Source organism: Homo sapiens, chromosome 1, assembly GCF_000001405.40.
Source record: "Homo sapiens chromosome 1, GRCh38.p14 Primary Assembly".
In the NCBI taxonomy this organism is placed as follows: domain Eukaryota; kingdom Metazoa; phylum Chordata; class Mammalia; order Primates; family Hominidae; genus Homo; species Homo sapiens.
Genome location: NC_000001.11, coordinates 40,041,234 through 40,056,110, shown reverse-complemented (window position 1 = coordinate 40,056,110; position 14,877 = coordinate 40,041,234). Strand labels below are relative to the sequence as shown.

The 14,877-nt window shown below is 43.2% G+C and overlaps 1 protein-coding gene across 25 annotated transcripts in view, besides 1 other annotated feature; it reads right to left on the bottom strand.

Annotated features, from left to right (window-relative positions):
• The window catches only part of CAP1 (cyclase associated actin cytoskeleton regulatory protein 1), a 32,409-nt gene that overhangs the window by 16,538 nt on the left and 994 nt on the right, over positions 1-14,877 (bottom strand). For 11 of the 25 annotated variants that reach the window (NM_001350478.2, XM_047431520.1, XM_047431420.1 and 8 more), the window contains exon 2: positions 14,618-14,682. The exons of the other annotated variants lie outside the window; for them this stretch is intronic. The gene's annotated coding sequence lies outside the window, so the exon portion shown is untranslated. The remainder of the gene's footprint in view (positions 1-14,617; positions 14,683-14,877) is intronic. 25 annotated transcript variants of the gene reach the window in all.
• Positions 2,561-3,060: an enhancer, noted in NCBI's record as "H3K4me1 hESC enhancer chr1:40518723-40519222 (GRCh37/hg19 assembly coordinates)". NCBI's record gives its function as "activates a minimal SCP1, AML or CMV promoter by ChIP-STARR-seq in naive H9 embryonic stem cells {active_cell/tissue: H9 hESC(naive)}" and the evidence as "EXISTENCE:reporter gene assay evidence [ECO:0000049][PMID:30033119]".

Genomic DNA, 14,877 nt, shown 5'->3' with positions numbered 1-14,877 from the left:
TTGGAGGTTTGAATAACAATATGCAGTGGCTTTGTGACTATAAGCAGTTATCAAACTTTCTGAGACTCAATTTCCTTATCTTTATAATGAAGACAATAATAGCACAAAAATCCAAAGGGCTTCAGTGAGAATAAATGAAGGAATCCATGTAGAAGTGCTTGGCACAGTCCTGGAAAATAGTAAGGATTCCATAAACTCCCCCACAACATCTTATCAGTCATCAAAATCCATAGGCTCTATTTAGTGTATCTCATGAATAGATGCCTCTTGCCTCCATCCTGACTGATAAGAGTTAGGATACTGGCTGGGCACAGTGGCTCACTCCTCTAATCCCAGCACTTTGGGAGGCCAAGACAGGAGGGTTGCTTGAGGTCAGGAGTTCAAGACTAGCCGGGGCAACATAGGGAGACCTTGTCTCTACAAAAATAATTTAAAATTTTTCCAAGCATGGTGGTGTACAGCTGTGGTCCCAGCTACCTGGGAGACTGAGGTGGGAGGATGGCTTAGGCCCAGAAGGTAGAGGCTTCAGTAAGCCATGAGTACCACTGCACTCCAGCCTGGGCAACAAAGCAAGATCCTGTCTCAAAAAAAAAGGATATCAAGACTTCACCAAGATTACTGCAATGACTTCTTGGCTAGTCTCCCCTAGTTACAGTAATAAACTTTGTTCATCCATTCTCCATATTATAGTCAGAGTGATCTATCTCAACACTTCCCAGAGTACTGAATGGTATTAAAGAAATATTTATAATTATATTTGCATTTAAGATATGATATTAGAGTTGCATTTGACACATACCCCAGAGCGTTCAGGGTAAAGTCCAAACAAGGGTTTCTCTCATCTAGTCCTGCTTAATCTTCTACCACTCCTGTTTTATCTCTTGCTACACCTTTCCTTAGCACACTACAGCAACCCGGGACTACTTGCGTTTTCCAGAAAAAGCCATGCTTTCTCTCACTTCTGAGCCTTTATAATGCTATCCACTCTGCTTAGATGTTTTCCCTTTCCCATCTGCCCCTCTAGAACTCCTATTGTCATTTAAGTCTCAGCTAAGTTATCACCTCCTGGGGAAGTATTTCTAGTATGTGCTACCACAACACTGTGCACTTATCTGTGTCACAACACTGCACACACTGGTTTAAAATCATTTATTTGGCCGGGCATGGTGGCTCACGCCTGTAATCCCAGCACTTTGGGAGGGCAACACAGGCAATCACTTGAGGCCAGGAGTTTGAGATCAGCCTGGCCAACATGGCAAAACCCCGTCTCTACTAAATCCCATCTCTACTAAACATACAAAAATTACCTGGGCATGGTGGCGCATGCTATGATCTCAGCTACTACAGTGGCTGAAGCACAAGAATGGCTTGAACCTGGGAAGTGGAGGTTGCAGTGAGCCGAGATAGTACCACTGCACTCCAGCCTGGGTGACAGAGCAAGATTCTGTCTCAAGACATTAGTAATAAAAAAATAAAATAATTTATTTAATAGCCTTCAGAGTCTAAGAGTTTATGGCCATAATCCCCTGAATGCATCTGATCTCCTCTAACAGTCAACAGGCAACTAGCCACCCTAAGGCAAGGACCATGTCTTGCCACTGTAATTCCACTACTATAAACATAGGAGGCATTAAAAACACTGTACATTGGCTCACGCCTGTAATCCTAGCACTTTGGGAGGCCGAGACGGGTGGATTGCCTGAGCTCAGGAGTTCGAGACCAGCTGGGAAGCACAGTGAAACCTCGTCTCTACTTAGCCAGGCGTGGTGGTATGCGCCTGTAGTCCCAGCTACTTGGGAGGCTGAGGCATGAGAATTGCTTGAACCTGAGAGGTGGAGGTTGCAGTAAGCTGAGATTGCGCCACTGCACTCCAGCTTGGACAACAGAGTGAGATTATGTTTCCAAAAAAAAAAAAAAGAACAGTGGGCTAATAAAGGTGTTTGAGTAAGAAAATAAATAAATAAAGGCTCTTACTCACTCTCCCCTCAACACAGTGTGGCTATCTTCTCTATCGAATCCATGGAGAAGTGTTTTGTTTTGTTTTGTTTTAATTTTTTGCTTATCTGCTTTTGCAGGACCTTACAAACCCTCCTGTCTTTCAAATAAATGTTGCCTTCTCAGCCACGAATCACACTGATATAGAGATCTTCAAACTAAGTACCATAAGGAAAGTACTCTTCTTAGAATATATAATATCAATTAAATATAGTAATTCTGTATAGTTGTAAATGCTTAACATTATTAATCTGTTGATTCTTTTGAGACTTAAAATAATTCTGCAAGGTATGTTACGCAGACATTGATCCCTATTTTTAGAATGAAGAAACTGAACTGACATTCACAGCAGTTAAAAGCTTGCCAGATGGCCAGGCACGGTGGCTCATGCCTGTAATCACAGCACTTTGGGAGGCTGAGGTGAGTGGGTCACCTGAGGTCGGGAGTTCGAGACCAGCCTGACCAACATGGAGAAACCCCGTCTTTACTAAAAATACAAAATTAGCCTGGAGTAGCGGTGCATGCCTGTAATCCCAGCTACTTGGGAAGCTAAGGCAGAATTGCTGGAACCTGGGAGGCGGAGATTGCAGTGAGCCGAGTTCACGCCATTACACTCCAGCCTGGGCAACAAGAGCAAAACTCCATCTCAAAAAAAAAAACTTGCCAGAGGTCAAACAACTAGTGAGTAAAGAACCTAGGCCTAGAGTACAAATATTCTGAATCCTACTCTGCAGCTCTTCTTGCTACTCCACAATGGCTTTTAACAAATTAAGTGACTATATGGTTAATCACAGTATCCAGCCCCAACTTGTTTGCACAGCACTATGGGCTCAAGGTCTCTTTATGGTGTCTTTAGTTACATTATTATCATCTTCCATTTTTCTTTTTTTTGAGATGGAGTCTCCCTCTGTCACCCAGGCTGGCTGTACAGTGGCACGATCTCAGATCACTGCAACCTCCACCTCCCGGGTTCAAGCAATTCTCCTGCCTCAGCTTCCCGAGTAGCTGGGACTACAGGCACCTGCCACCACGCCCGGCTAATTTTTTGTATTTTTAGTAGAGACGGGGTTTCACCATGTTAGCCAGGATGGTCTCGATCTCCTGACCTGGTGATCCGCCCGCCTTGGCCTCCCAAAGTGCTGGGATTACAGGCGTGAGCCACCATGCCTGGCCAATTTTTTGTATTTTTATTAGAGACGGGGTTTCACCGTGTTAGCCAGGATGGTCTCAATCTCCTGACCTGGTGATCCACCTGCCTCGGCCTCCCAAAGTGCTGGGATTACAGGCGTGAGCCACCGCGCCTGGCCAGCATCTTCCATTTTTCTGCTTTCAATTTTCTCCATGGAGGCCAACTTTTTTTCAATCACATTCAGGATAGATGAGACATATTTGGAAAGCAAATGTTTAAAATAAGGCTTCTCAGGCCAGGCATGATAGCTCACACCTATAATCCCAGCACTTTGGGAGGCCAAGGCAGGAGGATGGCTTAAGGCCAGAAGTTCAAGACCAGCCTGGGCAACATAGCAAAATCTCATCTCTTTTATTTAAATAAATAAATAAATAAGGCTTCTCCCAAACACAGAAGTATCAGAGCAGAGAACTGTATGTCTGCCTAATCTTGCTCCTTGCCATTTCTAATTGTCAATAACCAAGAACTATACGTAAACCTCCATAAATGAATGTCCGGATTCCCAACTACTTAAGCATTCATCATAAAAGCTTCAGAAACACAGGTGGTCAAAATTACACAAGTCCAAATAAAATTAGAAGACTGAGGCCTGAGTCCCAAGCTGTACATACTAACTGTGCAACTTTACACAGTCACATAATGGATTATAATCCTCATCTAGCATACACAGATATAAGGATCAAAGGAGGTGATTTCATAGATACGAGTAATCACTTCAGAAGCCTTAAAATGCAATTCAAATGTAAAATGTTAGCACTACATATTACGTACTAGAATATAGGCTCAAGAAGGATGGGAATTTATCCATTCTACCTCCTGCACTGACTCTATCTCCCAGCACCTAGAAAAACTAGGCACACAGAAGATGCTAATAAAATCAAAGTGCTTAGCATTGTGGGCCTACTGAAGAAATAGAAGACACATGGTCCCTCCCCTCCAGAAGCACTCATATTGGTTAAGACAACAAAATAAAATGTGAATGGAATAAATACTGTAGATTATATTTGTTAAAGTTTTTCTGCTTTTATTTAAAAAACAAAACAAAACAAAAAAAAACAGGCTGGGCGCGGTGGCTCACGCCTGTAATCCCAGCACTTTGGGAGGCCGAGGCAGGCGGATCACAAGGTCAGGAGATCGAGACCATCCTAGCTAACACTGTGAAACCCCGTCTCTAATAAAAAAAATTAGCCAGGCACGGTGGCAGGGGCCTATAGTCCCAGCTACTCAGGAGGCTGAGGCAGGAGAATGGCATGAACCCGGGAGGCGGAGCTTGCGGTGAGCCAAGATCGCGCCACTGCACTCCAGCCTGGGCGACAGAGTGAGACTCCATCTCAAAAAACAAAAAAACAAAACAAAAAAACCCCAAACAAACAAAAAACAGGGTCTGGCTCTATTGACCAGGCTGGAGGGCAATGGTGTGTTCACAGCTCACTGCAGCCTTGACCTCCTGGCTTCAGCCTCCTGAGTAGCTGGGACTACTGGGACTATAACTACATGCCACCATGCCTGGCTTTTGTGTGTGTGTGTGTGTATGTGTGTGATAGAGACAGAGTCTCACTATGTTGCTCAGGCTAGTCTCAAACTCCTGGGCTCAAACAGTCCTCTTGCCTCAGCCTCCCAAAATGCTGGGATTACAGATGTGAACCATGACAGCCAGCCTATATTTTTAAAAGTTTTATTATGGGAATATCCAGTTGGATTAGGGAAAGTTAAATTATCAGCCTATTCTTGCAGATTTTTCTTCACAGAATGTTGTTGCTACGGTTCTGAATTACATAAATTACTACATGCTCTGAGAGTTCAGAGGAAATCAATGAGGACTGGCGGTAGCTTGGTTTCAGGAGGGAAGTGAGGCATCTTGAAGAGGCAAGAGAAAAAAGGGAAGCCATTCCAGAGCAAGTCAAAAGCAAAAAAGGAGACCAAGCAGGCTATGTACAGAAAATGTGAGTGGGTTAGCCTGCATGGAACATGGAGTATTATAGGGAACAAGGATGCATGAGCAAGCTGGGCCAGATGATGGAGGGCACTGAAAGCCAGGGAAAATTTAAATTTGACGTTGTGATCAATGTGAAGCCATTCAAGGGTTTTGAGTGAAAGAATAATATGATGAAAGCAAAGAGCTTACAAGTACTGTCTGATAAACAGAATGGGATGTGGAGACAAGTGATGATATTAGGGTCTAGAAAGTTAGGTTAAAAGCTGTTATTCATCTAAAATAATGCTACTACAAAAGATATTTGTATTTATTTATTATTACTGTAATTTTTTGAGATGGAGTCTCACTCTGTTGCCCAGGCTGGAGTGTGATGGCATGATCTCAGCTCACTGCAACCTCCACCTTCCAGGTTCAAGCGATTCTCCTGCCTCAGCCTCCCGAGTAGCTGGAACTACAGGCATGCACCACCACGCCCGGCGAATTTTTGTATTTTTAGTAGAGACAAGGTTTCGCCATGTTGGCCTGGCTGGTCTCGAACTCCTGATCTCAGGTGATCCACCTGCCTTGGTCTCCCCAAGATATTTCAAAGGAAAAAAATCCACAATATTTGGTGTTTAACCAAATATTGGAACAAAATGAAAAGAATCAATTAACCTGTAAATAATCATCTTTAGGCAATTAAGAGACCAGCACCTGAATTAAGTGCTGTACAGAATATAAAAGAAAGGTAAAATAGTCTCCCTGTCCTAAGGGAGTCTAGCAGGAGAGACAAAGCTACCTTCTATCGACTCACTGGCTCTCAGGATTAGAGGGATTCTAGAAATCATCTTGTAAAAACACCATCTTATGCCAGAACAGTCCTTTCAATTAGCAATTAGTCAGGCAGCCTCTGCTCAAACACCTTCAGTGATGGAGAACCCGAGACTTCTGGAGGCAGTCCATTCCATTCAGACAGCTCAAAGTATTAAAAAGTTCTTCCTTATATGGAGGCAAATCTGCCTCCCTGCAACTTCCACCCACGAATCTTGGTTCTGCCCTAGGAGGTCATATGAAACAAGTGTGCATTAAACTGAGAACAAGTACTAACTGTATGGTACTGACTGTGAGCACAGCAGCATTCAGAGAAGGGAGGCAAAGATGACTCCTGATTTGCAAATATGGGGGCCTTAAGAGAATAATGACATTATAGGCAGAAATGGGTTGTGGCATGTTCTAGTTAGGGCAACAAGATGAGGTCAGTTTTGGATATGCTGAGTTTGAAAAGAAGACAAAGCTTCTAAGTGGAAATGACTAGTGAGTATTTAGAAATAAAGCCTAGGAAAGAATCAAGACTGGAGATAATGTTTGCAAATCATTGGCAAAGAACTGTCATGAAGTCATGAGAACAGACAAGCTTTTGGAGGGATATCATGCAGAGTAAAAAGAAACTATGAGCTTGATTCTCCAGCAATGTCTATTGTGGTTTGAAACCAAAAAACCAGGCCTGGCGCAGTGGCTCAGGCCTGTAATCTCAGCACTTAGGGAGGCTGAGGCGGGTAGATAACCTGAGGTCAAGAGTTCGAGACCAGCCTGGCTAAAATGGCGAAACCTCGTCTCTACTAAAAATACAAAAATTAACCAGGCATGGTGGTGCATGCCTGTAATCCTAGAAATCATCTTGTAAAAACACCACCTTCTGCCAGAACTGAGGCACAAGAATCTCTTGAATCCAGGAGGCGGAGGTTTGCAGTGAGCCGAGATCGCGCCACTGCACTCCAGCCTGGGCGACAGAGAGACACTCTGTCTCAAAAAAAAAAAAAAAAAAAAAAAAAATTAGAAATGGCTAGTGATTCCTGCCAAAGCTGCTTCACACTCTTATACTTCTAACAACTTAACCCAATTCCTTCTGCCTATTCAAGGAAGTCATTCAGAAGTAAATGGAACCAGGTTATGCGTGCAGTTCTTGTTGCATCCCACCAGGCAATTAAGACAGTAGCATGAATTTCTACTTGAGTAGGAAGTTGCTATGCTTGAAATGTTTTCTACTTTGTCCCACAGTTGTTTTTCTAAGTCATCATCCTTAGGTAAAATTGAAAATAAAGCACCCATACAAATCAGCCTGTCTACTATGGTAGCCCAATTGATTTGCTTCAAAATGCTTCTCTTAATTTTGTAATCCTGTTCCTGAGGTTTTATCCTAAGAAAGTAAATCATAATGTGAGAAAAGTGATAAGCATGGAGATGTTTGCTGCAATGTTAGATCTATTGATCTATCTATATCTATCTTGGACTTCTAATTATAGGGGAATAGCTAAATGAAGTGTGGAAAAAAACTTGAACGCAAAATTTACAATATTTGTCACATTTGGGTGATGGGTTTTTGACAATTTCTACCTGTTTTCCAAACTTTCTTTTAACATATAATATTTTATAATAATAATAAAAATCTCTACTTGACTATCCCTTCTAAATTACCACTAAACTATGTAGTAGTTAGTTCTACTTCTAATGAATTCTTATCACGAGGTTTTAACATGTCACAAAGTAAAACCTACACATGCTACCAGAAGATACAAGTTGGCTTGTTTAACACAGAAACCAAATAACAGGCACCACTTTGCCCCAGTAAAGATGCCATTTAGGCCAGGTGCAATGGCTCATGCCTGTAAGGCCAGGTGCAATGGCTCATGCCTGTAATCCCAGCGCTTTGGGAGGCTGAGAAGGGCAGATCACCTGAGGTCAGGAGTTCGAGACCAGCCTGGCCAACATGGCAAAACCCCGTCTCTACTAAAAATACAAAAATAAAAAAATTAGCCAGGCGTGATGGTGGGTGGGTGCAATGGCTCATGCCTGTAATCCCAGCTACTCAGGAGGCTGAGGCAGGAGAACTGCTTGAACCCGGGAGGCGGAGGTTACGGTGAGCCAAGACAGAGCAAGACACCATCTCAAAAAAAAAAAAAAGATGCCATCTAAATCTAACCCAAATCAGGAGCCACTGTTCTTCTCTAAGCATTTGGTTTCACTGATTAAACCAATGACATTTAGTGCCTGAGTCACTGCCACCCGAGGTTTAGATTTTAAAAGAAAGGCCTATCTTCTACGGAGGGAAGGAATCCAACCCAACATCAACACCTGTCTCCTGTTCCCTCCTTACACATGTCCTCTACCTGAAACTCCAGGAGTGAGTAAAGTTAGTGTATAAAGTGAAATTAGACTTGGGAACTAGCTGTTTCAATGTCTGGAGCAAACAGGTAACTTTGTGTGGTCATGGGTTCTCTTCTCTCCTACGTTCAAAGAATATTATGAAGACTAATTGCACAGAGCACTCGGCAGTCCCTTTCTACTTCTACATGTTTTATAGCGTGTAAGGGAAAACTGCATTGGCTGATTTCAGCCTGAATAGTTGCTTTAATAAAACAGCATTTCCCACTCTAATATATAAAGATGGATTCAAGGATGACGTTTGTCCTTAGCCATGATTCATCTACAAGTAGGAATATGGAAAGACTGTAAGTCTATAATTAACTAAAGTATAGGAATTTCAATGCCCTCTGGAGGAAAAAACAAAACAAAACAAAGCAAGTCTGCTCCTTCCATTAAACATTTCAACTATTTTCCAGCCAAATGGAAAAGTTTGGCACAAAAGGTCTGGTAATACAAGGCAAACAAAGCAGCACTGTAGCTGAGGCATATTTTTAGAACTTTGTTTTTATCAGGTTAACATATAGTACATCAAGAAATAATTTCATGGTGAATGCTGTAGCTGCATTAATTTAAAATTATGAAACTACAGTCATGCATTACATAATGACATTTTGGTCAATGGATGGACCACAAAATCAACAGTGGTCCCATAAGATTATATGGGATTATATGGGGATTAATCAACACAAAATCCCATAAGATTATAATACCCTATTTTTACTGTACTTTAAAAATGTGGCCGGGCGCGATGGCTCATGCCTGTAATCCCAGCACTTTGGGAGGCCAAGGCTAGCAGAACACAAGGTCAGGAGTTTGAGACCAGCCTGGCCAATATAGTTAAACCCCATCTCTACTAAAAATACAAAAATTAGCTGGGCGTGGTGGTGCGCACCTGTAGTACCAGCTACTCAGGAGGCTGAGGCAGAAGAATTGCTTGAACCCAGGAGGCGGGGGTTGCAGTGAGCCAAGATCGTGCCACTGCACTCCAGCCTGGGCGACAGAGTGAGACTCCGTCTCAAAAAAAAAAAAAAAAAGTTTAAATAAACAAATACTTACACTGTGTTACAAACTGCCTACAGTATTAGATACAGTAACATACTATACAGGTTTGTAGCCCAGGAGTAATAAGTTACACCATGTGCAGTATCATCTAAATTTGTGCAAGTACACTCTATGATGTTCCCACAATGATGAAATCACCTAATGACAAATTTCTCAGAATGTACCTGTCATTAAGCAACACATGACTGTATAATTTTATCAACTAAAATAAATGTGAATAACTCCATAAACTATATGCAACTTTAGTGTTTGTTTGTTTTTTTTTGTTTTGTTTTGTTTTTTTGAGACGGAGTCTTGCTCTGTCACCCAAGCTGGCGCAGATCATGCAGTGGCACGATCTTAGCTCACTGCAACCTCCACCTCCCCGGGTTCAAGTGATTCTCCTGCCTCAGCCTCCCTAGTAGTTGGGATTACGGTACATGCCACCACACCCAGCAAATTTTTGTAATTTTAGTAGGGACGGGGTTTTACCATGTTGGCCAGGCTGGTCTCGAACTCCTGACCTCAGGTGATCCACCCGCCTTGGCCTCCCAAAATGCTGGGATTACAGGCGTGAATCACCACGCCCAGCCTATATGCAACTTTAAAATAAATGATAGTCCCTGTCCACTAAAACCAAGCACTCTAAATACAAGGAACACAAACAAAACAGGAATTCACACAATTTTCAATAGAGAGGGAAATCTGCTGACTTACACCATCAACAAGAAGCTTGCTTCTAGTACTCAAACCAATGGCACTTCTCTTAAGATCACATCTGCCAGGTGTGGTGGCTCATGCCTGTAATCCCAGTGACTCAGGAGACTGAGGCCAGAGAATCACCTGAGGCCAGGGGTTTAAGACCAGCCCAGGCAACATAGCAAGACCCTGTCTCTGAAAAAAATCAAACATTTGGCCGAGCGCATGGTGGCTCATGCCTGTAATCCCAGCACTTTGAGAGGCTGAGGTGGGTGGTTCCCTTGAGGAGTTCGAGACCAGCCTGGCCAACATGGCAAAACCCTGTCCCTACTAAAAATACAAAAATTAGCTGAGTGTGGTGGTGTGTGCCTCTAGTCCCAGCTACTCAGGAGGCTGAGGCAGGAGAACTGCTTGAACCCGGGAGGGGGAGGTTGCAGTGAGCCAAGATCACGCCACTGCACTCCAGCCTGGGCGACCGAGCAAAACTCCATCTCAAAAAAACAAAAAACAAAAGAAAGAAAAAGAACTGTAGTCCCAGCTACTCAGGAGGCTGAAGCGAGAAGATTACTTGAGCCCAAAAGTTGGAGGTTGCAATCAGCCATGATTGCACCATTGTACTCCAACCTGCCCACCCAGAAATTCCTTGAAGGAACAGTAATTTCTTGAAGCTTCAACAGAAACAAATGATTCATTCATTGTAGGATACTGAGTGCTTATCATGTACCATCGACTGTGCTAAGTATGGCTATGGGGCCTGCCCTCACAGAATTTAGTTGGGGACATTGTACAATCATAGCTACGATACTTTCTAACGCAGCAATTCTCAACCAGGGGCAATTTTGTCCTCCAGGAGACATATGGCAATGTCTGAAGACATTTTTGGTTGTCACAACTGAGGAAGTCTTATTGGCATCTACTGGGTAGAGACAGATGCTGCTTAACATCCCACAGTGCACAGGACAACTCCATAATAAAGAATTATATGGCCAGGCGCGGTGGCTCACACCTGTAATCCCAGCACCTTGGGAGGCCGAGGCGAGCAGATCACGAGATCAGGAGATCAAGACCACAGTGAAACCCCGTCTATACTAAAAATACAAAAAATTAGCTGGGCCTGGTGGCGGGCGCCTGTAGTCCCAGCTACTCGGGAGGCTGAAGCAGGTGAATGGCGTGAACCCGGGAGGCTGAGCTTGCAGTGAGCCGAGATTGTGCCACTGCACTCCAGCCTGGGTGACAGATAGAGACTCTGTCTCAAAAAAAAAAAAAAAAAAAAAAAAAAGAATTATATGGCCCAAAATGTCAATTGTGCCAACGTTGAGAAACCCTGTTCTAATTTAATAAGGAGCATAGGGAGGTGCAAAAGGTTAAGTAAAATGCTAGTTCACGACTTTCTAAATTAGAAAGTCAACCTGTATCATCTAATAAAAATTAAGATAAGGGTCTAAACTGTAGAGAATTCTGTAAGATGGAAAAAAGAGTTCAGAATTTATTCTTTGTAAATATGAAGTCAGTGAAGACTAACAAGATGAAAAATGCTTCTTCTTAGAGAACTTTAAAAAGATTTGTCTGGTTGTCATAGAGAAACTGAAGTATAGGTCATGAAAGCCAGGTTAGCACAAATAAAGAAAGAAACTGATGTCAACATTTCAAAGTAATAATCACTAAAATTGGGTAAGATACCGCTCGAGAACTCTCATATTTCAAATCTCAGCATTAAATTTCAAACCAGAGGTTCGGCTTCCAGTGACACATTGCATTTGCTTAAGTAAAAAAAAATTTGATTCACAATGCTTCACAAAAAACTGAAAGGAGGAAGTCACCTTTTTTTTTTCTGGTAGAGACAGGGGTCTCACTATGTTGACCAGGCTAGTCTCTAACTCAGCCTCAAGAAAGTCACTTTTTAAAAGCTAAAAAAATAACTGCAACCAGGAAAAAGGGTGAGAATAAAAGATCATCCCTAGGTTGGAAACAAAACATTTTACAGACTCAATAGCTAAACTCCAAAGCAAAAATATACTCACTGAATCTTAACAATATCACCACTTTTGGTTTGCACATCAGGCTGTATTCTACAAAGTACTTTTGCTGCTACCATTTTATTTAAACTTCTCTGAGATATCAATTATGCCTACCCAATTGAGGAAGTATTTCTGGAAAAAGCGAGAAATTTCTTTTTTCTTTTCTTTTTTTTTTGAGACAGAGTCTCACTATCACCCAGGCTGGAGTGCAGCAGTGCAATCTCAGCTCACTGCAACCTCCGCCTCCCGGGTTCAAGCGAGTCTCCTGCCTCAGCCTCCCAAGTAGCTGGGACTACAGGCATGCACAACCACGCCCAGCTAATTTTTGTATTTTTAGTAGTGATGGTGTTTCACCATGTTGGCTAGGATGGTCTTGAACTCCTGATCTCAAGTGATTTGCCCACCTCAGCCTCCCAAAGTGTCAGGATTACAGGCGTGAGTCACTGTGCCCAGCCCAGAAATTTCTTTATGCTGGACCTGGGCAAATCAATTAGCAAACTGCCACCCACAAAATCAAATCCAAACAAATTCAACAAGGCATTAAAAGCCCTTCACGCCGGGTGCGGAGGCTCACACCTGTAATCACAACACTTTGGGAGGGCGAGGCAGGCGGATCACGAGGTCAGGAGTTCGAAACCAGCCTGGCCAGCATGGTAAAATCCCGTCTCTACTAAAAATACAAAAATTAGCCGGGCGTGGTGGCGCACGCCTGTAATCCCAGTTTCTCAGGAGGCTGAGGCAGGAGAATTCCTTGAACCTGGGAGGTGGAGGTTTCAGTGACCCGAGATTGTGCCACTGCACACCAGCCTGGGCAACAGAGCAAGACTCCGTCTCAAAACAAACAAACAAACAAAAAGCCCTTCACAACTTGGCCGACATCTAACCTTTTTTGCAGTCTGGTCTTCTGCAAAACTCCAGGCCCCAGTATCACTGAACAATTTAGGCCCTCTCCTGCCTCCGTATCTTTACTCTTGCTCTTTCCTTTAGCTGACCCACCTTATTAGACATCTTTGCCTGGATGTGCTACAAACACCTCAAACTAAAAACATTCAAAATGCATTTTTTCCCATGTCACTTCCCTAATTTACCTCTCATACTCTCTATCTGAATGGTACTACCCATTCAGTTCCCTAAGCCAGAAAGCCAGGCAATCGCGCTATTCTTACCTCTTCATTCCCATAATCAGCCTCCAATTCTATGGATTCTATCTTCTTAATATTGCTCACATCTGATGCCTCCTCTCCATTCCCATTTCCACTGTCTTAGTTCAGGCCATGTCTACAGCAAGAGCTTCCAAACACTGTTTTACTTCCCCACAGGGCTGGTCCCCTCCTACTTGACAGAATGAACTTTCTGAAATATAAATCTGACGACATCATTTTCCTGCATAAAACCCTTCAAAGCATCTCCATAGCTTTCAGGGTAAAAATCCAAATTCCTTAGCATGACTTACAATGTCCTCCACATATGACTGACCTGACCACATCTCACTTCCTCCACTTCCCCAGCCATTACTAGAATTCCAGTCACACTGAACTCGTCATGGTCTTTCAGCTGTCCGGTTCTCCAGGTCCTTGCACCTGTAGTAGTCTCTGCCTGGAAATCCCTTTTCCGGATTCCCTATGTAGCTAAATAAATATTTCAAGAGTTAGCCTCCCATTTCCTCCTGGAACCCTGGGCACCTGGCTCAGGTATTTCTCCACTGTGCTCTTGTAGCCCTGTGCTATGCACTATGACACTGTAAGCCATCCCTCATTTACTTGTCTATTTCCTCTCCCACTGTAAACTCCAGAAGAACTGTATTCTTTGCCACAAAGGCTATCTCATTAAAATGTGCCTCATACATATTAAGGTCTTAATAAACGTCTGGTGGGGCCGGGCACGGTGGATCATGCCCGTAATCCCAGCACTTTGGGAGGCCGAGGTGGGGGGATCACCTGAGGTTAGGAGTTCGAGAGCAGCCTGGCCTTCACGGCGAAACCCCATCTCTACTAAAAATACAAATAAATAAATTAAATAAAAGTCTGGTAAATGATAAATGTGCTGATATGCCCCCGGATTTTCTCTTGAAGAGAGAGCCCCACAAAGAGCTTCAACTGACACAGTTCTGATGCTAACCTGTCTCAAATGTTCTCATTCCACTCTTCGAACGCATTCCTATTTATCCTTCAAAATTCATCTTAAAAACTCTGCTTCTTCAGAAGGGCTTTTCCTGAACCCCCTGTTACATACTTTCAGAGCACCCTGTTCTTTCCTAACACTCATCAACATTTATAATTACTTCTTAAACATCCCTGCAAACACTGCTAGCTCCACGCGGGCAGGGTCTACATTGTTTTGTTTTAAAGCTGCATTCCCCGCATCTGGGAAAATGCTGGCACAGAATAAACACAATTTGTTACGCTGAATTTAATCTTGTGGGGTCAGCAGAGATCTCCACTTAAAAGATGAACAAAAGGAGGCTGAAAGAAGTTTAAGGCACCTATGGCCACAGACACTCAGCACTGAGGCCAGACCAAACCTGAGCCGTCTGATTTCAGGTCCAGAAGTACATACCTTCAATGTTAGCCTGGCTTGTCAAAGTAAGAGCAGCAGCCGAGGAGGAAAGGGAGGATATCTGCCTGTAAATACAAGGATGTGCCCGCCTTTCTTTTAAAAACTCCCTAGGCATTTCAAACGGCTCAATTTGGGAGGAGAGAAAAAAAAAAGTTCCACGCAGCGCTGGCCTTTAACCTGCAGCAGCCTGCGGGGCAACACCGACCGGAAGACCATCCCAAGTTAGAGAGGTTCCGAGCAACACGGGAAGAACTGGGGCT